This window comes from Homo sapiens, chromosome 22 (genome assembly GCF_000001405.40).
Source record: "Homo sapiens chromosome 22, GRCh38.p14 Primary Assembly".
Classification (NCBI taxonomy): Eukaryota; Metazoa; Chordata; class Mammalia; order Primates; family Hominidae; genus Homo; species Homo sapiens.
In genome coordinates, this window is record NC_000022.11 from 30,445,997 (window position 1) to 30,472,260 (window position 26,264).

Genomic DNA, 26,264 nt, shown 5'->3' on the forward strand with positions numbered 1-26,264 from the left:
TAAGAATTTATTCAGAGGAACTAATTGGACAATTGTCCAGAGATGTGCATCTGAGGATTGTTGGGGTCTTATTTGTGTGAGCTAAAAGCTTGGGAATTCCTTAATTGCCCATTGCATAAAGAAACATTCTGATCTGATCACACTGGTGGCTGAATCTCTCCAGGTCCCTCCTCTGTCCCAATACTTTTCATGGCTTATGACGGTCCCCAGGATCCAGTCTGAACACATCAGTTTGGCATTCAAAATCCCCTGGCCTCATCTCTCACCACACACATCCCTGCACCCATGCTATTGCCTCCCCTGAATCCTCGTCATTCTCTGGATGTGCCCTGCCCACCCTGCCTCCCTGCCTTTGCTCAGGCCATGTCATCTGCCAGCAATGCCCGCCCCCCATCCCATTTCCCTTTTTTCCCAGCCTTCAAGGTCCAGCTCTAACGGTACCCGCTCCATGAACCCTGCTTGGCTCCCTCCCCAAGACGGAATCATCTTGCCCTACAGTCCCCTCCATCACGCGCTCAGCCCTCCCCTTGGACACCCACAGAGCACGTGGATGGAGCTCTTTCTGTGTGCCATGCACTGAGCTAAGCATCGCATTATGTAACCTCCATCGCATTATGTAGCCTCATGAGACAGGTGCCATCATTATCACCTTCCTGCAGATGAGAAAATGAAGTCCACTGTGCAGTGACCCTTCATCAGCATTAACTCTGTGAACCCAAAAGTATCTGAAACAGGTCTCAATCAATTTAGAGGGTTTATTTTGCCAAGGTTAAGGATGTGGCCATGACACAGCCTCAGGAGGTCCTGACAACATGTGCCCAAGATGGTTGGGGTACAGGTTGCTTTTATACCATTTGGGAGGACATAAGACATCAATCAATACATGTAAGATTTACATTGGTTTGATGTGGAAGGATGGGGCAACTCCAAGCAGGGGCTTCCAGGTAATAGGTAGATTTAAAAATTTTCTGATTGGCAATTGGTTGAAAGAATTATCAATAGAAAGAAATTATCAATAGAAAGTCTGGGTTAGCGGGAGGTGGAGGTTGCAGTGAGCTGAGATTGCGCCATTGCACTCCAGCCTGGGTGACAACAGCGAGACTTTGTCTCAAAAAAAATAAAAGAAAGTCTGGGTTAGGATAAGGGTCATGGAGCCCAAGGGTTTTTTGTTTTTGTCTGTTTTTGTTTTTTTGAGACAAAGTCTCCCTCTGTCACCCAGGCTGGAGTGCAGTGGTGCGATCTTGGCTCACTTCAACCTCTGCCTCCCGGGTTCAAGCTATTCTCCTGCCTCAGCCTCCTGAGTAGCTGGGATTACAGGTGCCCGCCATCAGGCCTGGCTAATTTTTGTATTTTTAGTAGAAATAGGGTTTTTCCATGTTGGCCAGGCTGGTCTTGAACTCCTGACTTCAGGTAATCCACCCGCCTCGGCCTCCCAAAATGCTGGGATTACAGGCGTGAGCCACCGCGCTGGGCCAAGACCAAGGTTTTATCATGGACTTAGGGTCTGTGTCGATGTTCATGTTGGTCAGCTTTTCCTGAATTCCGAAAGGGAGGAGGGTATCATGACGCACGTCCGACCCCACTCCCTTCCCATCATGGCCTAAACTACTCTTTCAGGTAAACTTTGCAATGCCCCTGGCCGAGAGGAAGGGTCCATTCAGATGTTTGGTGGGGGATCTTAGAATTTTATTTTTGGTTTACAACTCTTACTAGTGTTAGTAAATCCATCGTGAGTGAGGAGGACTTTGGAGCCTTCCTTAAAATCAGGGGGCATTGCAGATAGGTGTGTGTGTTTGGCAGGGCTGGGGTGGGTGTCGCTGGAAGAGGACTGTGGAAGTGTTTGGCTTGGGCCCAGCTCAGCCATGCCCTAGGCTTATCTGTGGGCTCCAGGTTCCTTCCCCAGCCTCTTCTGGGCCTATTTAAGGAGGCTTTGGGGTGGCGGGCAATGTTTTTTTTTTTTTTCATGATGGCTGCCCCCAAGGGTCTTCTGCTGGTTGCTCTAGTCTTGCTACTTGGTAAGTTCTGGGCATAGGACTCCCTTGGGAGAGGGGGTGGTGGAGCAAGGGCCTTCCTCCTGCCCTCTCTGCCCATGACCAAGCCTCCCTTGGCCAGCTGTGCACCTGGTAAGGCCGCTCCGGGATAACCACCACCCCAGGCCTGGGCTGCAGGTCTTGGCATCCTGAAGATACAAGCAAGAGGAGACTTCTTTCCTCATAGCCTGTGAGTCACTCTGCTGGGTGCCCTCTGACAGCCCTACCCCCCCAATGCCTCTGACCCCTGGGGTCCCTTGCTCCTTCCCCCAATGAGATCTGAAGCCACCAGGATCCCAGGTCACCCATTTCTCTCCCTTGACCGTCACAGTGCATCTGGGGAGCCTTTCAGTCTTGTCGCAGGTTGAGCAGGGGCCTCCTGGGGTCCAGGGCAGTCCTGCTTCCTGAGGCTAGGGCTCCCCAGCCAGGCCAAACCCCAGGTGCAGGGCTCACTCCTATCCTGCTCTCTTGGCCTCCTGAGCAGAGCTTGGCATGCAGTAGATGCTCAGTAAACACTAAACAAATGCCTTACATTCTCCTAAAAAAAAAAAAAAAAAAAGCCCAGACCAGGAGTGGTGGCTCACACATGTAATCCTAGCACTGGGAGGCCAAGGTAGGAGGATTGCTTGAGGTCAGGAATTTGAGACCAGCCTGGGCAATGTAACAATACCTCATCTCTACCAAAAAAAAAAAAGAAAGAAAGAAAGAAAGAAAAAAAACCCAGGCATGGTGATGTGTACCTGTGGTCTCAGCCACTCAGGAGGCTGAGAGGGGAGAATCACTTGAGCCCAAGAGCTCAAGGTTGCAGTGAGCTATGATCGCACCACTGCACTCCAGCCTGGGCCACAAAGCAAAGCCCTGTCTCTAAAAAACAAACAAACAAACCTCCAAAACTTCTTTCCCTTCCTTGGTCTGCCCTAGGCCCTCTGAGTATAGATAACCCCTCTTAGAAGCAGCATGGCAAGGCGGTCAGGAGCCCAAATGGGAAAAAGAATTAACTGGAGACCACGTAGGGGGTGAGTCCTCTTACACACAGGCCAGTTACTCACACAGACAAAAATTAGTTACTGGCAGGGAGGGGTAAAGGCCTACTTAGCTTGCATTTTCGTACCATTTGGTATGCCATCACTTGCGAGTTTGAGTGTGAGTTCTGTAGCTCATGGCTGCATATAATCACGGGCAGATGACAGCAAGACTTCCCAGACTCACTTTCCACATCTGTAAAATTGAGGTGGTTATGAGAAAACAAAACAAACAAAAAGAAATGAAAATCCTGAACTCCAGAGGGTCACCAATACTAAGGCATATGCTAAGTTAGTGTTTTATAAAATAGGATTCTATGTGTCATTCTATAATAGAATGACATTATACAATAACTTAATCAAGTACTTTTTCATGCATAAAAGGTATTTTGTGAAAGTTCACAGCTCCACAGAACCCTACTTGTCTGGTCAAGCTGTAACTTAGCCAGTACCTGATTACAGAAGCTCCCCAAGGGTTCCAGTCTGTCCGTTCTTTTTTCTTTTCTTTTCTTTTCTTTTCTTTTTTTTTTTTTTGAGATGGAGTCTTGCTCTGTCGCCCAGGCTGGAGTGCAGTGGCGCGATCTCAGCTCACTGCAACCTCCGCCTCCCAGTTTCAAGTGATTCTCCTGTCTCAACCTCCCGAGTAGCTGGGACTACAGGCTTGCACCACCATGCCCAACTAATTTTTGTATTTTTAGTAGAGATGGGGTTTCACCATGTTGGCCAGGCTTGTCTCGAACTCCTGGCCTCAGGTGATCCACCTGCCTTGGCCTCCCAAAGTGTTGGGATTACAGATGTGAGCCACCACGCCTGGCCCCAATCTGTCCCTGTTGTAAATCAGCGCTGTGGTGAGGAAATACTCCTGGATCAGGGAGAATCAGGAGAATTGTCTCTCCTCAGAGGGCCTGTTCTGGACTGGGTGTGATAGTCACAGGCTGGCCTGGCTTCCTGATGTCAGTTGCTCTCTGTGGTCCCTCCCCGCTACTGCTGTCCAGGTTCACGGACACTTGTTCTTGGTTTTGTCCCACTGCCCTTTCTGGTCTCAGCCACACGCTTGCTTTTCTAGGCCCTCAGTTGATGGGAAATAAATGGGCACGATGTAGTTCAACATGGGATGGCTATGTTGAGGTAGCGGGGGCATGGAGTCCAGGACGAGCCCTCTCACCCAGCTCTTCCACGGCCCCTACTTCTGGGTTTACCTCATCTGCTGGACGAGGGTCTGGAGCTGGACGCGATCCTTTGAGCCTGGCTGGAAATCTTATTTTTATTTTTTTTGAGACGGAATCTCTCTCTGTCCCCCAGGCTGGAGTATAGTGGCATGATCTTGGCTCACTACAACCTCCACTTCCCAGGTTCAAACAATTCTGCCTCAGCCTCCCCAGTAGCTGGGATTACAAGTGCGTGCCACCTTGCCCAACTAATTTGTATATTTTTAGTAGAGACAGTGTTTCACCATATTGGCCAGGCTAGTCTCGAACTCCTGACCTCAAGTGATCTACCTGCCTCTGCCTTCCAAAGTGCTGGGATTACAGGCATGAGCTCCCGTGTCTGGCTGGAAATCCTATTTTTACAACATCTCCTCATACAAGTAAGACCTCTCCGTTTCAAGTTATGGGACCCTGGGCAAATTCCTTCAGCTGAAGGAATTTCATGGTCCTGAAAGGCATGCTGTGTGAGCCCTGCTGGCTCAAGGCCTGGGTTCTGGAAGCTGGGTAATAGGGGGAAATGGAAGGCCTTGGCTGACCTTGTGCCAGGATACTTCATCCACACGGTGGGGAATCCTTACCCTGAAACTGTAGGTGGGCTCTTCCTAGCACACATAAGCCAAGGAAAGGAAGGTCCAGAGAGGCCAAGTGACCACCTGCTGCTGCACAGAGCAGAGATGGTGGCCATGCTGGGATTGGGATTTGGGGCAGGCCCCTTGCCCGGGCAGAATGTTGTCCCCAACCCTCCTGACTGGGCAGGTCTTTCTGCCTGGGCTGTTGGCAGCTGACAGCTTGCAGGTGATTAGTGGGAAAGCTCAGTGTGTGACTGCTGTGACTTTGGCTATTCCCACACAGAGAAATGTGGCACCAAGGTACAGTGGGGGCAGGCCAGGTCAGGGGGGCTGCCGGGGGTGGCGCTGCTCTGGGGACCTTTGGCGTGTGTGGGCAGATGAACGCCACTGCACCCACCATGAGAACAGGTTCTGGGCTGGAAGATGCGTGGACAAGATGAGGAGTTGGGGCAGGGGAGCGTGAAGAGATCATGGCTTGGGTGGGGTTAGTCGGGGAGGGGATGGACACTGACCTTAAGCCTCTTCTGTCTTGCAGGTGCTTTGGGGAGGATGCACAAGTGGCAGGTCCGATGACAGGTGCTCCAACACCTTGTCCCCGGCCCCCCCTTACCAAACAAACATAATAAAGCAAATAGACAACTGTCCTGGTAAACCAGGCTCCAAAGAGTTAAAGAAACCAAAGACTAAATTCTTGGACTTACAGAATAGCAGATAAGAAAAGAAAGAACTTGCTGAAAAGCTGAAACTAAGACTGTGCCCCGAAGAGTAAGAAACCAGTAACAGAAATTCTTGAGTTTGCAGGATAGCAGATAAGAAAAGAAACAGCTTGCCGAAACACGGACACTCCCTGCACTTACGAGATCAAGAAAAAAACTGGCTGATGGCCGGGCCCGGTGCCTCAAGCCTGTAACCCCAGCACTTTGGGAGGCCAAGGTGGGCAGATCACTTGAGGCCAGGAGTTCGAGACCAGCCTGGCCAACATGGCAAAACTCTGTCTCTACTTAAAATACAAAAATTAGCCAGGCATGGTGGGACGTGCACCTGTAGTCCCAGCTACTCGGGAGGCTGAGGCACGAGAATGGCTTGAAGCCAGGAGACAGAGCTTGCAGTGAGCCAAGATCGCGCCACTGCACTCCAGCATGGGCAAGAGAGTAAGACTCCATCTCAAAAAAAAAAAAAAAAAAGAAAAAAGAAAAGAAAAGAAAAGAAAAGAAAGAAGAAAGGAAAAGAAAAATCCGGCTGGAATTGGTTGGAACCAAGATGGCCAACCAGAATCTGTGCAGAATGAACTTGGTGACGTTGTAGCCTGAATTTCCACCGCGTGTTTCATACTAATGCCCCTTAAATTTTGCACATGCGATCCATGAGGAGGCATGAAGAGATAACTGCACGTGCTCAAGGAATTTTCTTTTCTTTCTTTCTTTTTTTTTTTTTTTTTTTTGAGATGGACTCTTGCTCTGTCACCCAGGCTGGAGTGCAGTGGTGCAAACTCGGCTCACTGCAACCTCCGCCTCCCGGGTTCGATTCTCCTGCCTCAGCCTCCTGAGTAGCTGGGATTACAGGCTCCGGCCACCACGACTGGCTAATTTTTTGTATTTTTAGTAGAGACAGGGTATTGCCATGTTGGCCAGGCTGGTCTCAAACTCCTGACCTCGTGATCCACCCGCCTCAGCCTCCCAAAGTGCTGGGATTACAGGTCAAGGACTTTTCCAGACCTCCCCTTCCCTTCTTCCTGTCACCTACTAATCTCAGAATCTACCACCCGCACATTTTCTAATAAAAATACTGCCTTGAAGCCAGCACGGGGAGACAGATTTGAGCTGGACTCCTGTCTCCTTGGAGTTGACGAGTTGACTTGCAATAAAAGCTCTTCCTCTTTCTTTCTTTCTTTCTTTTTTTTTTTTTTTTGACAGGTTCTCACTCTGTCACCCAGGCTAAAGTGCAGTGGTGTGATCTTGGCTCACTGCAGCCTCAACCTTCTGTGCTCAAGTGATTCTCCCACTTCAGCCTCCTGAGTAGCTGGGACAACAGGTACATGCCACCATGGCTTGCTAATTTTTTTGTTGTTTTTTGTAGAGATGGGGTTTTCACCACGTTGCTCAGGTTGGTCTCGAACTCCTATACTCAAGCAATCAGCCCACCTCGGCCTCCCAAAATGTTGGGATTACAAGTGTGAGCCACTGTGCCCAGCTGCAATGAAAGTTTTTCTATTCTCAAGAGCCCAATTAGTATTGGCTTCTAGCACACTGGGCAGTGAGCCCGTTTTGCTTGGTAACACTAGAAAATTCAGGTACCTCAACAGGATACAATCCTACCACCTAGATCATCGTTAACTAACATCTTAGTATTGTCATATCCAGGTGGCTTTTGCTAGACATACACATTAATATAATGTAGTTTTGTAACATTCTATAACGTGCTTCTACAGTACTCTCTAGGCAGCTCTGTAGGTTGATACCTCTTTTGCATTTGTGATGGCACAGTAGTCTAGGAATGGAAGTAGGAGAATTTAACCAGTCCCACATTGATAGACATTTGTGTTCTTCAGTTTCTCTGCTAGGTGACACCTCATTGCCACAGCCTCCTTTCATTTATTTATTTTTTTGAAATGGAGTCTCGCTCCGTTGCCCAGGCTGGGGTGCAATGGCGCAATCTCAGCTCACTGCAACCTCCACCTCCCGAGTCCAAGTGATTGTCCTGCCTTAGCCTCCCGAGTAGGTAGGATTACAGGCATGCACCACCACGCCCAGCTAATTCTTGTATTTTTAGTAGAGGCAGGGTTTCATCATGTTGGCCAGGCTGGTCTCAAACTCCCGACCTCAAATGATCCACCCACCTCGGCCTCCCGAAGTGCTGGGATTACAGGCGTGAGCCGCCGTGCCCAGCCCAGCCTGCTTTTAGCAGCTGAACACAGGCCTGCCTTGGGAAGTTAATGGCCGTGGAAGAATTTTCCTCCTTCCAAGCAGGAAAGGGAGGAGAGATAGGGCTGACAGCTTACTCTCTTCAGAGTTTCCTGGGGAAGGGGACACCTATATGGTGGCCCGGCCCTGCTGAAGGTCAAGATGCTATAGTGTTATGGTTTAAAGGTAGGTGCAGGGTCTAGGGGGCCTAGGCACTAACAGAACTAATCTCTCCTCCCCCCAACTGCTGTCCAGGTTCATGGATAGTCATGCTTGGTCTTGTCTTACTGTTCTTTCTGGTCTCAGCCATACCCTTGCTTCCCCAGGCACTCCTGGCCTTTGTTTTCCTACCTCTGGACTCACCCTAGCTGTCCTGTACAACCTGCCCCGCACCTCTGGGCAGTCCTGGGGTGCTCTTGGACCTCTCCTTCCCAGCCTCCTGCAAGATGCTGAAGGACTTTTTGCTGGTTGCACTGGCCTTCACTGGTGTCACTCTGTTGCTGCTCCTGTGACCCTGAGGAAGGCACTCGAGGTCTTCCAGCCATCCTGCCCTCTCTGCAGCTTAAGAGGCTCTGTTTTGGTGCCCTGCCAGCTGGGAGGCCCACAAGATGGGGCTGGTGACTTGCGCAACAGAGAGACTCTCTTCTGAGGAGGAAATTGATATGGAATCTCAGTCTATTTTGGAGGAAGACCTGGAGGCAGTGGCCCCTTCAGAAGACAACGAAAAAATAACCCTTGTTTCTCTCTCTATATAATCTATAATAATATTATTATATATAATCTATAATAATATTATTATATATAATCTATAATAATATTATATATAATCTATAATAATATTATATATAATCTATAATAATATTATTATATATAATCTATAATATTATTAGATATAATCTATAATATTATTAGATATAATCTATAATATTACTATATATAATCTATAATATTATTATATAATCTATAATCCATAATATATATTATTATATATAATCTATAATCTATAATATATAATAATATTATTATATATAATATATAATATATAATATATTATTATATATTATATATTATTGTATATTATATATTTTATATATTATAATATAATATATAATAATATATAATATATTATATTATTATATAATACATAATATATTATTATATATTATATAATAGATATATAATATATTATTATATATTATATAATAGATATATAATATATTATTATATATCATATAATAGATATATAATATATTATTATATATTATATATTATATAATAGATGTATAATATATTATATATAATATATTATATTATATAATAGATATACAATATATTATATATAATATATAATATATTAAATATTTAATATATAATATATTTAATATTTAATATTTAATATATATTATATTTAATATTTAATATATATTATATTTAATATTTAATATATTATATTTAATATTTAATATATAATATAAATTAATATAAATATTAAATAATATAATATATAATATTTAATATATTATATATAATATATTATATATATTTGAGACGGAGTCTCTGTCGCCCAGGCTGGAGTGCAGTGATGTGACCTCGGCTCACTGCAACCTCCACTTCCCAGGTTCAAGTGATTGTCCTGCCTCAGTCTCCTAGGTAGCTGGGATTACAGGCATGCACCACCACGCCCAGCTAATTTTTATATTTTTGTAGAGATAGGGTTTCACCATGTTGCCAGGCTGGTCTTGAACTGACCTCAAGTGGTCCAGCTGCCTCAGCCTCCCAAAGTGCTGGAATTACAGGCACGAGCCACTGCACCTGGCCTGTGTTGCCTTAACCTTGTGCTTTTTGGTACTAGTTGTTAGGGGAAAAACCTGATGTCTTAACTTTGTGACATGCATTTGTGGTCTCTGAAGGGGCCAGTGTGGTGGTGGGTTCTTGGGGAAGGAGTAAGAGGCAGGGCTGGGGCCTCATTAGCACCAGCATAGTGTTGCCCACCGGTGTCCCTGGCCTGAGGTCTACACGGTTGGGAGCCTCGCCTTTTGGCCTCAGCAGAAATTTGACTCCTCTATGGGAAATGGCCTGTGGCCACCAACTCTAGCTTCCCAAGAACAGTGAGACTTTTCCTTCCCTGGCTCTGCCTTGGCATTTCTGGGCTGTTGGAACAGGAACTTCTAAGTTAACTTTCCTTCTCACACAATGGGGGGCCTGCAGGCCTTGGTTTTCCTGCCCTATGCTGCTAGCTTATCACTTCTGGAATGAGGGGGCTGTGTTAGTCCATTTTGTGTTACTATAAAGGAATATTGGGCCAGGTAAGGTGGCTCACGCTTGTAATCCCAGCACTTCGGGAGGCCAAGGTGTGTGGATCACCTGAAGCCACGAGTTCAAGACCAACATGGTGAAACTCCATCTCTACTAAAAATACAAAAATTAGCCAGGCATGGTGGCAGGCACATGTGTTCCCTGCTACTTGGGAGGTTGAGGTGGGAGAATTGCTTTAACCCAGGAGGTGGAGGTTGCAGTGAGCCTAGATTGCACCACTGCATTCCTGCCTGGGCGACAGAGTGAGACCCTGTCTCCAAAAAAAAAAAAAAAAAAACAAACACCAAACACGAAAAAAGGAATATTGGAAGCTGGGTAATTTACAAAGAAAAGAGGTTTACTTGGCTCATTGTTCTGCAGGATGTACAGAAAGCATGGTGCCGGCATCTGCTCAGCTTCTGGTGAGGGCTTCAGGAAGCGTTTACTCATAGCAGAAGAGGAAGGGGAGCCAGCGTGTCACATGGTGAGAGGAAGGGAGCAAGAAGAGGGGAGGGGTGCCAGCCTCTTTTAAGCAATTGTAGAATAAGAACTCACTCATTATGGCGGGCAGGCACCAAGCCATTCATGAAGGATCTACCGCCATGACCCAAACACCTCCCACTAGGCCCCACCTCCAACATCGGGGGCCACATTTCCTCCTGAGATTTGGAGGGGACAAATATCCAAACTCTATTAGTGACCATTGGCCAAAGCTACAAAGTGGGTCTCTTTCCTTCCCCAATGCTGCCTCCTGGAGATTCAGGACTGGAGCTGAGCATCTAGACCCTGAGTAAGACTGGAGGCTAGAAGCTGGAGCTTGGGAAGCCTGCCTCTTACTGGCTGTGTGCACACAGTGGGAGCTGGCTTGCCAGGGGTGGGCATCAGCGGATGCTGATGGGCACTTTGCAGATCTCAGCTCTGGCCCTGGCCTTAGGTTCTTTGCACTGCTCCACCTCCTGGTGCAAGTCCCCTCCACTCAGCTGCCACAGAGGAGCTCTGGCAACAGCACTGCTCATCTTAGTCCCAAAGGCACAAAGGGTCCACACTCTCTACCTCAGACCCTGCTTCAACATCGAGGCCTTTCCTTTGGTGGTCAAGGGTGAGACCACCCTGTCCCCCGACCCTGCATCACCCACACTAAGCCATCCTCTCCCAAGGATTCCATGACATCATTGGCCCAAATTGTGGGTGCTGCCACCGTCTTCCAAGAAGGTGAACCCATCCCCCTCTTTCCATCCTCCTCCCTTTCCTCTCTCTTCCCTCCATCTTCCCTCATTGGTAGGATTGTCAGATAAAATATAAGATGCATAGGTCAATTTTAATTTTAGATAAACAATGGATACATTTTAAGTATGTCTTTTTTTTTTTTTTTTTTTTTTTTAGATGGAGTCTTGCTCTGTTGCTCAGGCTGGAGTGCAGTGGTGTGATCTCAGCCCACTGCAATCTCCACCTCCTGGATTCAAGAGATTCTCATGCCTCAGCCTTCTGAGGAGCTGAGATTACAGGTATGTGCTACCTCCCCAGGCTAAATTTTGTATTTTTAGTAGAGACGGGGTTTCACCACATTGGCCAAGCTGGTCTCGAACTCCTGACGTCAAGTGATCCGCCTGCCTTGGCCTCCTAAAGTGTTGGGATTATAGGCATGAGCCACTGCACCTGGCCATGCTTTTTTTTTTTTTTCCTTTCTAAATCTGACAACCCTCATTTTCTCTTCTCTTCCTTCCTTTTTCCTTTCTCCTTCCTCCTCCCTCCTCCTTCCCTGCCAGCTCAGGAAGAAGGCAGTCTTGTCCCATTCTGACAAATTGTTATAGAAGAGTGGTGGGGGTGAAGAGGTGACGGGGTAAGGGGCAGCCTTAGCTCCAGGACTATTTCTGTCACCTGTAGGCTGAAGATACAAGGCCAGTGCCTTTGGGAGCTCAGTTTCCCATCTATAAAGCAGATATCAGATTTTGCACCCATAAGTGCATGTGGGAAAGTGCTTGCTGCTGCTGAATATTTGCTTGACTAGCCTGAGTCAGACCTCATAGCCTGCCCACGGATGAGCTCAGCCCTCCGTTTGTTTGTTTCCAAGGAGCCTCTCATGGCACCAGCCTTTGGTTCCCATTCATCCCCATTCCCGGGTGTGATCCGGCTCCCCTGGCAAGAGTTGTGTCAGGGACTGGGGCTCAAGCCAGCCTCTTCACGTCCCCGAATCACAGCAGAAAGTTGGGAAGGAAACTCTGGAGTCCTGGCCTTTGCCCTAGTCACCCAGGGTCATGGTGAGCGTCAGGGGGTTGTGCTTCACAGATGCCATGTGAGCAGCGGACAGGATGCTGAGCTGAGGAACACAAGCCCTGCCCCACTCTGCTGTGAATTTCCTTGGACAAGCTGCTTCAGTATTGTGGGTCTCTATGGCCTATCACCTCCTCTACCCACAAACAGGGACTGGAGAGGGTGACATGCAGGACACTTCTACTGGAAGGTCTAGAACAAATAAATCATGCCTTCTCACTGCCTTTGTAAAAGTGGAATCTTAGGAGGTCATATTCTTACTATATTAAATTTTTTTGATAGAGATGTGGTCTTACTATGTTGCCCAGGCTGGTCTAAAACTCCTGGGCTCAAGCGATCCGCCCATCTCAGCCTCCCCAAGGGCTGGGATTATAGGCAGGAGGCGGTATTACAAGGCAACTGAGAGCAATGTCATTGGAGTAAACAAAGCAAAAACAGGCCAGGCATGGTGGCTGAGGCCTGTTATCCCAGCACTTTGGGAGGCTGATGGGGGGTAAATCACTTGAGGCCAGGAGCTTGAGACAACATGGGGAAACCCCATCTCTACAAAAAAATACAAAAAAATTAGCCAAGTGTGGTGATGCCCACCTGTAGTCCCAGCTACTCAGGAGGCTGAGGTGGGAGAATGGCTTGAGCCCAAGAGGTCAAGACTGCAGTGAGCCATGATTGTACCACTGCACTCCAGCCTGGGTGGGCGACAGAGCGAGACCCTGTCTCAAAAAACAAACAAACAAACAAATAAACAAACAAACGAACACCCCCTGCCCCAGGTCCTGGATCTGCCACCCAAGCTGTAAGATGTTGAGTGAGTAGCTTCACCCCTCTGAGCCTCCATTTCCTTATCCATAAAGGGCCTTGGGGATGGCATGAGAATAAAACATGCTAAACTCACAAAGCTCTTGGCACAGTTTCTGGTACACAGAGAGCACTCGCCAAATGATAGTTGTTTTCTTTATTATGATTATGCCAGATGTGACTGCCTTTGCTTCCAGGAAAGTCCCTAAAACATAAGCTATGTGCAACAAGGGAAGTGGGTTAGGGTGGGAAGCTGAGCGTGCAAGTCAGACAAAGCCTGATGTAGGCAGCTCCTATCAGAGGCATGTGGCCTTTGTGGCTGGGGCCCTCAAAAGACAGCCACTGCCAGAAATCTGGAGACTGAATTGTCTGGGTCTCCAGAAGAGAGTCCAACCCCACCACACATCTGCTCCTGTCCAAGGTGCTGAAATCCACCCCACATAGGCTCCTCCTAATCATGTACAGCTGTTGAGTCACCTGCACCCTACCTTCTGGTCCTCCATTCAATGCCACAAATATACACTGAGCATCTACTATATATAGGGAGTGGAAGTAAAAAGGATTTAGATATGTCTCCAACCCAAGTTGCTCACAGCCATACGGAAGGAATTCAAGCATACACACCTGCCTTAGGGTAGGTGAGGACAAAGGCTAGGGGATTCATTTTGCTATTTATTGAGTTTCATGACACCCACTTCTTGCCTTTACCCTTGCTTTTTCCTCTTCTGCAACCTTGGTACCCTCCAAGGTTGTGCCTCTCATACCTTTCTTGATCTGACCACAGTAGATGAGTTTTCCCCAGGGCATCTCTTTCTGTACTCACTAACGTCACAGAGTCAGGAGGACTAACAATCAATTTCAGGGAGGGAGGGAGTGTAGGATATAAACAGAGAAATCAAAGGGTTAGGAGGTCTCTGAGAAATGAGGGAGCCACCTAGACAGGGGTGAGCTCCTTATCATATTTCTGCATGCCCTCGTCAGGGAGCAGGACCTCCACTGTGAAGCTGACCTTCTTGGCGTGGACAAAGCTATAGGTGTTGTCGAAGCGTAGGACATCTGGGGGACAGATGGAAAGAGGGGCATTGGGCTTGGCTTTACACACTCTTTTTTCCACCCCTGGCCATGGAGGAGGACAGGCTTGTGTTCCCACTGGCTTTGTTTGCCAAGCTGGGCCAAGCTCCCACCACGCCTCTTCCCTTCCCCATGGGAACTGCCAACCCAAGCAGGTCCTGTAAACAGACACCAACCTCCTCTTGGCATGTGCCCAGGCATGGCTTTACTGGCATCGAGAACAATGGTCATTACATCCCATTGTCTCACACCTGGAGACGCACATGACGGGGCTGTGAAGGCACATGGTTGGGTTCATCAGAGACCTCCCAGCCCCCTTGGATGAAGTGGGGTTCTGGGGCAGGCCTGCTGGACACTGTTTGCCTCCTCACAACCACCCCAAAAAGCAGGTGTTGGCCGGGCACAGTGGCTCACACCTATAATCCCAGCATTTTGGGAGGCCAAGGTGGGTGGATCACTTGAGGTCAGGAGTTCGAGAGCAGCCTGACCAACATGGAGAAACCCCATCTCTACTAAAATTACAAAATTAAGTGTGGTGCACATGCCTGTAATCCAAGCGACTCAGAAGGCTGAGGCAGCAGAATCGCTTGAACCCGGGAGGGGGAGGTTGCGGTGAGCAGAGATTGCACCATTGCACTCCAGCCTGGACAACAAGAGTGAAACTCTGTCTCAAAAAAAAAAAAAAAAAAAAAAAGAGAAAAAACAGGCATTGTAACTCCTGGCTCACAGGTGAGCAAACCAAGGGTCCTTCCCAGATTGGTCAGACTTTTGCCCAGGACTATGTAGCTACCCTGAGGCTCGGGTGGGACCCTGGAACCACACTCAGCTTTGTGGCTCTGCACAAGTTGATTTATTTTTCAGAGCCTCGGTTTCCTCATGTGGAAAACTACACCTGCCCTATCACTTGTTGTCTGTGTTCTGTGGTCCAGGTGTCCCCAATTCCTTCAGGGCCTGTATGTCTCTGGCTCCTGGTGCACAGTAGGTGCTCATGAATATGGACTGAGTGAGTGACTGTATGAATGAATGGTGCTAACCTAGGCTGTGTGTCCCTGAATGGGGGAGGTGTGTCACTGCCCCTCTGTTTCCTTCTCTAAAGCATGGGACAGGTGGCTCTAGCCTTTCAGAGCCAGGTCCCAGCTGGGGCAGACTTACAGACGCCGGCCTCTGAGCAGGTGAGGTTCCCATCCTCGGGCACCATGTGGGCGTTATAGCGCTGGCTGGGTAGAACATCTGTCATCTCCCCTGCCCGCTGTCGCTCCCCCATCTTGGTCTTCAGGAAAACTCCGAAGCCGATGTCCGCACCATCAGATGAGAACTGCCACCTGTCAGGGGGAGGGGGAGGAGACAGGTTGCTGCTCAGCCTGATGGGTCTCTGAGGGGTTAGGGCCTGCCCCTACCTGAGAACGCAGCCTGGAAATAGGATCTCGTATTCCACTTGGTGTGATGAGCCGCGGTTGATCTGCACCGAGTGCTCGTACTGAGTCTTCACCTGGTCCCGCACGTACATGGACTTGGGGATCTCCCCGCCATAGTTAATCTGCGGACATGGGATGAGATGGGCTTGCTTCCGTCTCCTGGCCATTGTTCATGTTTCTTCTGCCTGAGACACTTTCACCACCTCCTGGAAGTATCCTCTTCATCCTAGCCCCACTCTCCCACCTCCTCAAGCCTTCTATGACCCTCCAAACTGGGCCAGTGCGTCTGCTGGGAGCTTCCCCTCCCAGCTCATCCCTCTGGGTTAAAATTCGCCTATTTCTTGTTTGCCTTTACAGCTGCTGAGAGCTCTGTAAGGGCGAGGGTTGTATTGACTAGCTTAACACCCAGTTCTTGGCATCTCTCTATAGGTAATTGTGGATGAATGACTGAGTGGAAAGGGAATCCAGCTTAATTCTTGAACCTCTCTTGTCCCAGGGAAGGGCTCTTTGTACCTTGGTTAAACATTTGGGGTTCCCATCTGGGTCAGTCAGGGTGCCCCCAAACTGGGCAGGCAGTTCCTCAGGACTGATGAGTTTCAGCAAACCTTCCTTCCAGTTATCTGGGAGCAGTGGGATTCAAGGGTGGTTAGCAAGCATGGGGGGCACCAATTAGCCTCCCACACCCACCAGGATGACCTGAACTGGGGGAGAAGCCCTATAGGAGGTAGGCTGCCAGGACCAATTCCCCAGTGTCCTAGGCCTGGGGCTACAGTAAGTGTCTTTCTCAGCATTGTGTTGCTGTGGAAATGTGTTTCCCGCCTTGATAGATGAATCAGCACTTTTTTTTTCTTTGAGACAGTGTCTCACTCTGTTGTCCAGTCTGGAGTGCAGTGGAATGATCATGGCTCACTGCAGCCTCGACTTCCTGGGCTCAAGTGATCCTCCCACCTCAGCCTCCTGCGTAGCTGGGACTACAAGCATGTACCACCATGCCTGGCTAATTTTTATTTGGTTTTGTTTGGTTTTTTTTTGTAGAGATAGGGTTTCACTATGTTGCCCAGGCTAGTCTCAAACTCCTGGGCTCAAATGATTGTCTTACCTGGGCCTCCCAAAGTGTTGGGATTACAGGTGTAAGCCACCATCACCATGCCCAGCCTATGGCACATTCTTTTTTTTTTTTTTTGAGACGGAGTCTTGCTCTGTCACCCAGGCTGGAGTGCAGTGGTGTGGTCTCAGCTCACTGCAACTTCCACCTCATGGTTTCAAGCAGTTCTCTACCTCAGCTTCTTGAGTATCTGGGATTACAGGTGCCCACCACCATGACTGGCTAATTTTTATATTTTTAGTAGAGACGGGGTTTCACCACCTTGGCCAGGATGGTCTTGAACTCCTGACCTTGTGATCCACCCGCCTCGGCCTCCCAAAGTGCTGGGATTACAGGCATGAGCCACCACGCCCAGCCAACAGCACATTCTTGAAGATCTTCCAGTCATGAGCAGTGAAACTAAGAGTTATCTAATTGCCTCAAGGAGAGTTTAGAGCTCAATGACGTCAACGGCCTTGTTGGGATCACTCTGTAAGTAAGTGGCATGCCCAAGTCAGACCTCCTAGTGGGGGATGGACAGCCCTGGGCTTTTGGAGGGACCCTCCCCACTTCCCTCTGCCTAATCACCATGACCATAATGTTCTTCATGCCCTATGTAAAGCTCTAAGAGTTCTGGGTCCTGGCTGTTACCATGCCCCAGCCTTATGGCTAATCCAGGCTACCCGGTCCCCCAACCCCCTCACTTTGGCCATGGGAGGTTCCTTCTCTACAGTGGTATTAAGGGGAAGACCACAATGTGCCACATACCAGAGCCAAATGAGCAGAGTCACATGGGGCAGAGGCTGTGGACTTAAGGCCTGGACTGTGCTGGTAACCCACACTGCTCTAGGCTTTGGAAGGCGTAGAAGGCATGAGCCTGGACCCTTCAAACCAGGCCCTCATAATCTATCAAGTTCCCCATCCCAGTGGAATTGGGTAGAGGCAGAGGCTCAGGTACCAGGAAGAAAGAGAAAGTAAGGATTTATAAGCTCCCCCTCACCCCTGGATCCTCAGTTCTCCTAATTCTGTGATCTGACTATCCTGCTTGGGAGAAGTTTTCCTCCAAGCCAGGGTCATTGGTTTGGGTTTAAGAACTATTTCCCTTCTCTCTCTTTCTCTCAGCCTGTCACTTGTAAACACAACTATTCTCCTATTTGTAAAATTAATACATATTATTATACAGTTTAGAAATCATAGACAATACAGGTAATAAAATTAAAAACCACACGATCTCTCACTATCAACAAAAAATATTTTGTTGTTTTTCCTTGTAGAAATATGTATTTATTGTACATATGTTTTCATAAAATAAGATTATACTTTTAGTTTAATCTTATTTTAGTTTATGCTTATGAAGATAAGTTTATAATCTACTTTTAAAAACTTAAAGACATTTCCATGGCATTAAATATTCACATATAGCCTTATTTCTCATGGCGGCTCCAGAATTCATCAAATGCATGCACCATTATTTATTTATCCAGTCCTTTCTTGTTGGGTCTCCTTTCTCTGAATTGTGACTACTCTTTCTGCTCGTCTGCCTCATCCTCTTCTGCCAAGGTTGCCTTTGGAAGCACTAAGCTTATGAGTGTTGAAAAGAAACCGAGGCCTATATACCAGAAATTGACTGCAACCAAACTGAAACCAGTGAGGTGGTAGGTGTGGAGGCCTTGTCCACCAAAGGGGTATGGCAGGGAAAAGAGCAAAGGTAACACTCTTTAGGGTAAAACCCACTTCACTGTTGGGAAGAAGGAGCCTCTGACTAGGTGATGTGTAGAGTTCTGTTGTTTTTGAGATAGGTTCTCACTCTGTTGCCCAGGCTGGAGTGCAGTGGTGTGAACACGACTCACTGCAGCTTCATACTCCTGGGCTCAAGTGATCCTCCCACCTCAGCCTCCTAAGTATCTGGAATTACAGGTGTGCACCACCACAACCAGCTAATTTTTAAATTTTTTGTAGAGATGGGGTCTTGCTATGTTGCTGTGGCTGGTCTCAACCTCCTGATATCAAGCAATCCTCCTGCCTCAGCCTCCCAAAGTGCTGGGATTACATTCGTGAGCCACTGCACCCAACCTAATGTGTGGAGTTCTAGATGGGGTAATGGGACAACCTCACTCCAAAGGTCATGTATAGAGGTCAGGAAATTGAGCTGGCACTACTTACTTCCCAACACAATAATTTTCCTGCGAGTGTCCTCACTCAGGAATGGCTTCATGAGGTTGTAGCCCACAGGGAACAGTTTGGTAGCTGGAGAGATAGAAGTAAGGATAATGGGAAGAAAAGAATTACATTGGGCAACCCCCTCCATAATGGTTATAGCCAATGATACAGAGGAGTCATGACTAACCCTGGTCAATTCCAGTGTCTGTCCTGCACCCAACAAACCATCCAACCAACCAGTCAACCAGCCAACAAACAGCCAACTAACCAATCATGCATCAATCATGCAATGCAACCATCAACCAACCATTCAGCCAACAAACCAGCCAGTCATTCAAACTTCTAATCAGCCACCTATTCAGTCAACCAATAAACCAGCCAACCTACCAAACAGCCAACCAACTATGCAACAAACCAACCAACTGACAACAAATAGTCAAACAATTTAACTTCTAACCAGCCAACCTACCAAATAGTCAACCATCTAACAAATCAGCCAAACAGCAAAGCAATCAGCCAATGGAACAGCCAGATAACCACTCAACTAACTGTGTTCTCTAGCCAGCCAACCATCCAAATAACCAGCCAGCCAACCATCCAAATAACCAGTCATCCAACCATCCAAATAACCAGCCAGCCAGTCAGTCAAATAACCAGCCAGCCAACCATCCAAATAACTAGCCAGCCAGTCAGTCAAATAACCAGCCAGCCAACCATCCAAATAACCAGCCAGCCACCATCCAAATAATCATCTAAGATTCAGCCAAACAACAAACCAGGCAACCAACTAACCAACCTGCTAACCAGGCAACCAACTAACTAGCCATCAAAACAACCTACCAACCAAAATGCCAACCAGCCACTCAATCAGTCAACCAAGCTAAGAACTAGCCAACCAAGCAGCCAGCCAATTCTCCAACGAACCACCAGTTAGTCAACTAGCCAAGCAACCAACTGGCCAGTCAGCTGAACAACCAATCAAGCAACCAACTGATCAACCAACTAGCCAATCACCAAACATCCATCCATCCTTTCATCTACCCACAACAATTACCCAAATACCTATGGAGCATCCACCATGGACCCAGGCCTGTGAGGGCTACAACAAAAGTGGAGAATCACAGCCCCTGGCTTCAAGGAGCAGAAAACTCAGCCAGTAAAGCAGGATGAGCACAAATAAAACAGCTGGAGATCCCTAAAAGGCAGCAAACAGGGAAGGCTGCACCAGTTGCCAGTGCCAGAAGCAGTCTGGGGAGGGAGAGATCATCATGGACAGGAGAAATAAGGGAGGATCCCTGGGAGAGCTGGGACTGGAGCTGCCTTCTCTTGCAGTAAGGCCAACCCTAGAAGTTACCATTTATTGAGAACTTACTCTATGCCAGGCATTCTAAGTGATTTGCATACAGCCAAGAAACCAACCTGCCTCACAACAATCCTGGGACAAAGACAGTGTTATCACCCTCAGCGTACAGATGAGGAAACAGAGGCACAAGTAAGTGAAGTCATTTGTCACATACCTTTCACGATGAGCATGAACTTCAGGGTCTCTGGGTAATTCTCTTCAAGGAGGCCAAAGAACTGTGGAACCAAGAGAGATCCCTTCAGAGAGCACATCACATCTTCTCCTACCTCCATCTCCTGTGCAATCTCCTGTTGGGAGGTTTCAGATGGCTCTGGAGGGTTTCCCTTCATGCCATCACCTCCCCTGGCCTCTGGAGGGAACCTTCTCACCTCATACTATTATAACCATACTCTAATAATAATTACATAATAATTGTTTTTAGTAAATATTATAATAATGGTAGTATAATAATAATGACTACTGTTGATTAAATGTTCACTATTTGCCAAGCAGTGTATATACACTTTACATAACAACTTGCTGAAGTATCCCTACATTGCTATCCCCATTTTGTAGGTCAGGAAACAAGCATGGAGAGGGTTTGGTGGAAGCTGGAACGTGTGGTCTCAGTACAGTGTTGTCCCTGAAACCCATTCTGTGGGATCTTCTAGGAAAGGTATTAAGGCCTTCTGGAGTTTGAGTCACAATGAGGGAGCCCAGGACATTTTTAAACTAAATCTTGGCTCTCAGTAAGCAGCTGGGTCATGGCAGGCCAAGCTGGTCATCAAAGCAAGCGGGGGGTGGCCCTAGGACTTCTCCTTACCTCCTGGTACACTTCTACCAGAGGTTTCCAGAAGTGTTTCAGTCCCAGGCCCTCACAGTCAAATATCATCACGATGGTCTCAATCTTCTTCCCTAGCTGCAAGGATGAGAGCAAGAAGTAGTTCTGGAGTTCAGGGTGTAGGCTTGGGAGATGGTAATCCAAGTACATGACCCCTTGGGGCTTCTTCTAGACCCCGACTCTGTCCTCAGAGGAACAAGTAGACTAACCAGTGAATGCATTTCCCCACTCATCCATCCATCCATCCACATCCATCCATCCATCCATCCATCCATCCATCCATCTATCCAACCATCCACCCACCCACCCCCGTATATATCAACTTACTCATCAATTAATTGAACCATCCATCCATTCATTCATATTGTCATTAATTTATTCATCCTCCATTTTTCCATAATATAAATATAAACTGATAAATATAAACTGATATTTATCAAGCACTTTTTTGTGTGTGCCAGACACTAAAGTGTAATGAATAGTGCCTAATAACCCACAGTTTTTGTCCTTAAAAAGTTCACTGTCTGGCTGGGGAGATGACAAGCAACCAGGTCATTTGGATCCTATGATAAGTGCTGCAATAGGTCAGCACAAGAGCTTCAGGGATACAGAAGAGGTTATTTAACCCAGGCGGGGGACTCAGAGAAGGTAACATCTAAGTTTCAGACCTAAAGGATAGATAGGAGAAAGTCAGGGAAAGTTGTGGGAGGTAGGTGTGTGTGGTGGGAACTAGGGTTGTTCAGACAGAAGGAATAGCAAGGGCAAAGAAAGGCTCAGAGGGAATAGCAATAGCTACCATTGTTGAGAAATATATATTAGGCCCTGTGTGCTAAATTGCATACTTGCATTATTTCATTTCACTTTTGCAACCATTATTTATTCATATCCCTGTTTTATAGGTGAAGGAGCTGAGGCTCAGACAGGTGAAATGACATATTCAAAACACTGAAGCAAAACAAAACAAAGCAAAAAAACCCATCAACCAAGAATTCTATTCCCGGCCTGGTACGGTGGCTCACGCCTGTAATCCCAGCACTTTGGGAGGCTGAGGCGGGTGGATCACAAGGTCAGGAGATCGAGACCATCCCGGCCAACATGGTGAAACCCCGTCTGTATTAAAAACACAAAAATTAGCCCTGCGTGGTGGCGGGCGCCTGTAATCCCAGCTACTCAGGAGGCCGAGGCAGGAAAATCCCTTGAACCTGGGAGGCGGAGGTTTCAGTGAGCCAAGATCACACCACTGCACTCCAGCCTAGGTGACAGAGCGAGACTCTGTCTCAAGCAAAAAAAAAAAGAGGGTTCTATTCCCAGCAAAAGTATCCTTCAAGAAACTGTCTTTCTGTGACTGTGACTTTTCAAGGCCACACAGCTGGTAAGCAACAGAGCTGGTGTTTGACCCCAGAGCCCTCTGACTGTGGTTGTAGAGAACACAGGTGTGTTTCTGAGACCAATCCCCCCGGCAGCCTCACCTGCCCCCAGCCATCCACCCCACCTGGCCTGGACCTCACCCTCTCTGTCTGCAGGTCACACTCATGCAGGATGCGCTCACAGTCCCTCATCTTGGTCTTGAGCAGGTCCTGCTTGGTGACTGAGAAGAGCAACCCCTTGGGATCAAGTGGCCCAATGATGTCATACCACACGGGGCAGCCATCACGGTCATAGCCACACAGGCCCCCAGGCATGTACTTCTGGATCACCTGGGCATGAAAAGATGCACAGAACTTGGCATTACACACCTCCCTTGAGACCCCAGACCAGGCTGACCTGGGTGGCCCAAGCCTACACACACCATGGTATAAAAAGCACTGTCCCTCCCTGGAAGACAGTGCTATTGTCTCAGGTGAGAAAGCTGAGGTCCTGCAGGGGAGGGCCTTGCTCACAGAGGGTAAATGGCAAAGCCAGGTCTCAGCAGGCCCTTGGACTTCTTAGGTCTGCCCCTGATGTCTCCCGTGTCCCTTTCTGTGGAGAAGAGTCGGGTTTAGTGATGGAGAACACAGATTCTGAAGGTTAACAGAGCTGGTTCAAAAACAGACACTGGCTGGGCATGGAGGCTCATGCCTGTAATCCCAGCTACTCAGGAGGTTGAGGCAGATGGGATCTCCTGAGGCCAGGAGTTTGAGACCAGCTTGGGCAACAGAGAGAGACCCTGTCCCTACAAAAATAAAAGAAATTAGCCAGCTGTGGTAATACACATCTGTAGACTTGGGAGGCTGAGGTGGGAGAATCACTTGAGCCCAGGAGTTCAAGGCTGCAGTGAGCCATGATCATGACACTGCACACCAGCCTTGGCAACAGAGTGAGACCCCATCCAAAAAAAAAAAAAAAAAGCAGATACTGCTGCTTCTGTACTGTGTGTCCTTGAGCAAGTGACACCACCTCTCTGAGCTCCATTCTACCTACTTTTTTTGTAAAATGGTTTGGATAACCCCTCACTCTTGGGACTGTTGGGGAAAGTCCCTGAGATAAAGTTGGCAAAGCAGAGTGCCCAGATCCGGGTACATGCCCTACAAGTGAAGACGTGACCATTACTCTACTAAGATGCCAGTGGTGGCACTGTCCTCATCAGTGCCTTGATGGGCTAAACTTCTTTCCCACCCAGACAGGATGCTTTAGGCAATGCCTTAGGGGGCAGGGGTGCAGAAGCACAGGCTAACCGTGGTGGTTACGAGCCTGGGTTTGGGGGCCCAAACAGGCCTGAGCATAAATCCCAGCCCTACCTTGGGCTATGGGACTGTGGGCAAGTTACCTAATTTTTGCTGGGCTTCAGTGTCCTCATCCACAAAATGGGGACAATAGCATCCATCATTGTGATGATTAAAGAAGCTCATGCTGCTAACATCTTAACCTAGGCCTGGACCTTGCAAGCCCCCAGGAAACATTCATTATGACTGTAGGAAAGGAGACTGCAGGCCTGCGGGTTCCACAGGCCTCTCAGGCTTGCTGCCCCTCATTCATGGTCCCCAGTGACCTTGAGTGGTACGTCCGTGAAAGACTGAGGTGTTTGGCGGTGTTGGCTCACCTCTGGGGGCTGCCAATCAAGGATATGGTCAATATCCATGGTCTTCCGGAACTCCATGTACTGAAAGGGAAATGAGTGGTAAGATCCCACTGGGCTCCCAGTGCCCTGAGAACAGGGATGGAAGGAGGGGCTTGAGGCATGGATTGCCCCTGACAAATCCCCTCCATAAATTTCCAGAGTGGATAGGTCTCACCTTGCGGAGCAAAGCCTCCGACTTCTGCAAGTCAAAATTCCGAGCTGTGGGAAAACAGAAGGAAGGTGTGAGACAGGAAAGATGCCTTGTCTTACTCCTGGCCAGTGGGAGCTATGGAGGACACTGGGGGCCTGGGTGAGACCTTGCTCCCCTACCCCCTTCCCTCCTCTGGACCTGAACATGTGAAGCAAGATTGTGTGGATGGACCCTGAGAGCCATGAGACACTCTGGAGCAGTTGAGACCAGGCCCCTCTTGATGCCCCCTGATCCCAACCTCTCCCACCTCTGCCCTCACCTCGGAGCCAGCGTAGAAGGAAATAATCATCAGGGTTGGGCAGGGCAGGAAGCACATCCTGGACGTTTTCTCGGAACTGGCAAGAGAGATGCTGGTTAAAGTGGCTCTCTCACATTGAGCCTTGGCCTCCAGACTCAAAGACTGTTTTCACAACCTCTCCTTTCCTCCCACATGCAAAATGGCCCACATTGATGAAAGGATGGGTTAATGGTTGAATAGAAGGGCAGATGGATCACTGGATAGGTGGATGAATGGAAGGAGGATAGATGGATGAATAAATGGTTAGAAAGAAGAATAGATGGGTGAGTGGGTAGGTAGATGGAAAAAGGGAGAAGAAATCAATGGATGAATGGATAGATGGATGGATGGAGAGTGGGTGGGTGGATAAATCAGTGAATGGACAGAGGAGAGATGGGTGGGTGATTGAGAGAAAGAAAGATGGATAGGTGGCTGCGTGGGTAGGAAGAGGGATGGGTGGATGAAAGAAAGGATAAACAGCCAGGTATGGTGGCTCACGCCTGTCATCCCAGCACTTTAGGAGGCTGAGGTTGGTGGATCACCTGAGGTCAGGAGTTTGAGACCAGCCTGGCCAACATGGTGAAAACTCATCTCTACTAAAAATACAAAAATTAGCCAGGTGTGGTGGCACATGCCTGTAATCCCAGCTACTCAGGAGGCTGAGGCAGGAGAATTGCTTGAACCTGGGAGACAGAGGCTGCAGTGAGCTGAGATCGCTCCACAGCACTCCAGCCTGGATGACAGAGACTCCATCTCAAAAAAAAGAAGAAAAAGAAGAAGAAAGGATAAATAATTGGGTGGATGAATAAGTGGATTGGAGTTTGGATGCATTCTTAGTTCCCTCCATGTGTTAGCCCTCAAAACATCTGCTTTTTTTCATCCCATCTTCTATTAAAACATGGTTAATAATTATATGTCCTCTTCTTCCTTTAGCTCTTTGAAAGACAACACTTTCTGCTCTGTCTCTTGGGCTTTTACAGACTGGTCATCTTTCAGGATCCCAAAGAGGAAGGGGTTAAAGGGCAGACCAGCAGCATCTTTCAGCTCCTACCTATGGTGCCTGGGAGGGAGGAACGGGGGTACCTGGCTGCCAGGTAAACCTCTCTGGTTCTGGCTCCTGGATGAGAAGAAGTCAGGCTTGACTTGGGTGGGCACCACCCACGTTATTGCCTGGAAGTGGTGCTAGTCCCTCAACCCCCGCCCGGGACAGGGTTGATGTTACTGGGCACCGTGGGGCTTGACCCTTTGGGAGGTAACACCAAAGAGACAATGTCAAGGACATGCTGAATCAACTGAGTGGGGCAGGATTCCAGCCACTTCTTTCCACCCCCCAGCCCCTTTCCCCTGGTCTTCCGGAACTCCAGGGGGAGGGGCTCTCACCTTGGCCAGGGTCTCTGCCTGTTTGGGGCTCAGGTCTCCAACTCGGCCGCTCATGGTGCTGGCTGGGGCTTGAGGAGTGGTGGCCACTATAGGCAAGAGGCCAAGCCTAGTTTGTCAGCCCTGACCCAGCTGGGTCCTTTTGCCCCCACTCCTGGGCGTGGCTCCAAGCGCCTCCTCATGGGCCAACTGTTTAAATTGCAGATTACATAATTGGGATTAAGTGAGGTCCCCTGCTTGGCTTGGGGACAGATCTGGAGGGGCAGGCGGGCATGGAGCGTGTGCCAGAGGTCCCCTGCCAGGAGGAGGCAGCTGGGAGGAAGGGAGGCTGGCCTCCCGTGACCTTGGAGCCCAGAGTG

At 48.3% G+C, this 26,264-nt stretch overlaps 1 protein-coding gene and 1 long non-coding RNA gene across 8 annotated transcripts, besides 1 other annotated feature; one reads left to right on the forward strand and one right to left on the reverse strand.

Moving 5' to 3' along the window:
* SEC14L3 (SEC14 like lipid binding 3) lies at positions 1,665-26,021 on the reverse strand. Of its 6 annotated transcripts, NM_001257378.2 has the most exons (14): positions 25,909-26,021; positions 25,164-25,211; positions 24,511-24,586; positions 24,216-24,259; positions 24,023-24,082; positions 22,793-22,962; positions 22,512-22,700; positions 20,986-21,081; positions 20,338-20,398; positions 18,824-18,907; positions 16,090-16,196; positions 15,559-15,698; positions 15,314-15,483; positions 13,233-14,146 (listed from the first exon to the last, which is right to left on the reverse strand). In NM_001257378.2, the coding sequence occupies exons 6-14, from the start codon at positions 22,793-22,795 to the stop codon at positions 14,025-14,027; spliced, it is 972 nt and encodes a 323-aa protein (NP_001244307.1). In that variant the 5' UTR covers positions 22,796-22,962; positions 24,023-24,082; positions 24,216-24,259; positions 24,511-24,586; positions 25,164-25,211; positions 25,909-26,021; the 3' UTR covers positions 13,233-14,024. The 6 variants fall into 6 exon arrangements, with proteins under 6 accessions (NP_001363843.1, XP_011528430.1, NP_001244307.1 ...); NM_001376914.1 differs by lacking the exons at positions 13,233-14,146; positions 22,793-22,962 and adding an exon at positions 1,665-3,248; NM_001257379.2 differs by lacking the exon at positions 22,793-22,962.
* LOC105372991 (uncharacterized) lies at positions 1,964-6,778 on the forward strand. 2 transcript variants are annotated; one of them, XR_007068061.1, is made up of 4 exons: positions 1,964-2,015; positions 2,113-2,220; positions 5,365-5,762; positions 6,743-6,778. It is a non-coding gene; the product is annotated as an uncharacterized LOC105372991 (long non-coding RNA). The 2 variants fall into 2 exon arrangements; XR_001755491.2 differs by having other exon boundaries at positions 1,964-2,220.
* Positions 4,990-5,349: a silencer, noted in NCBI's record as "fragment chr22:30846973-30847332 (GRCh37/hg19 assembly coordinates)". NCBI's record gives its function as "represses an EF-1alpha promoter that drives an FKBP-Casp9 reporter gene in an ReSE screen in phorbol 12-myristate 13-acetate-treated (for megakaryocytic differentiation) K562 erythroleukemia cells {active_cell/tissue: K562(+PMA)}" and the evidence as "EXISTENCE:reporter gene assay evidence [ECO:0000049][PMID:32094911]".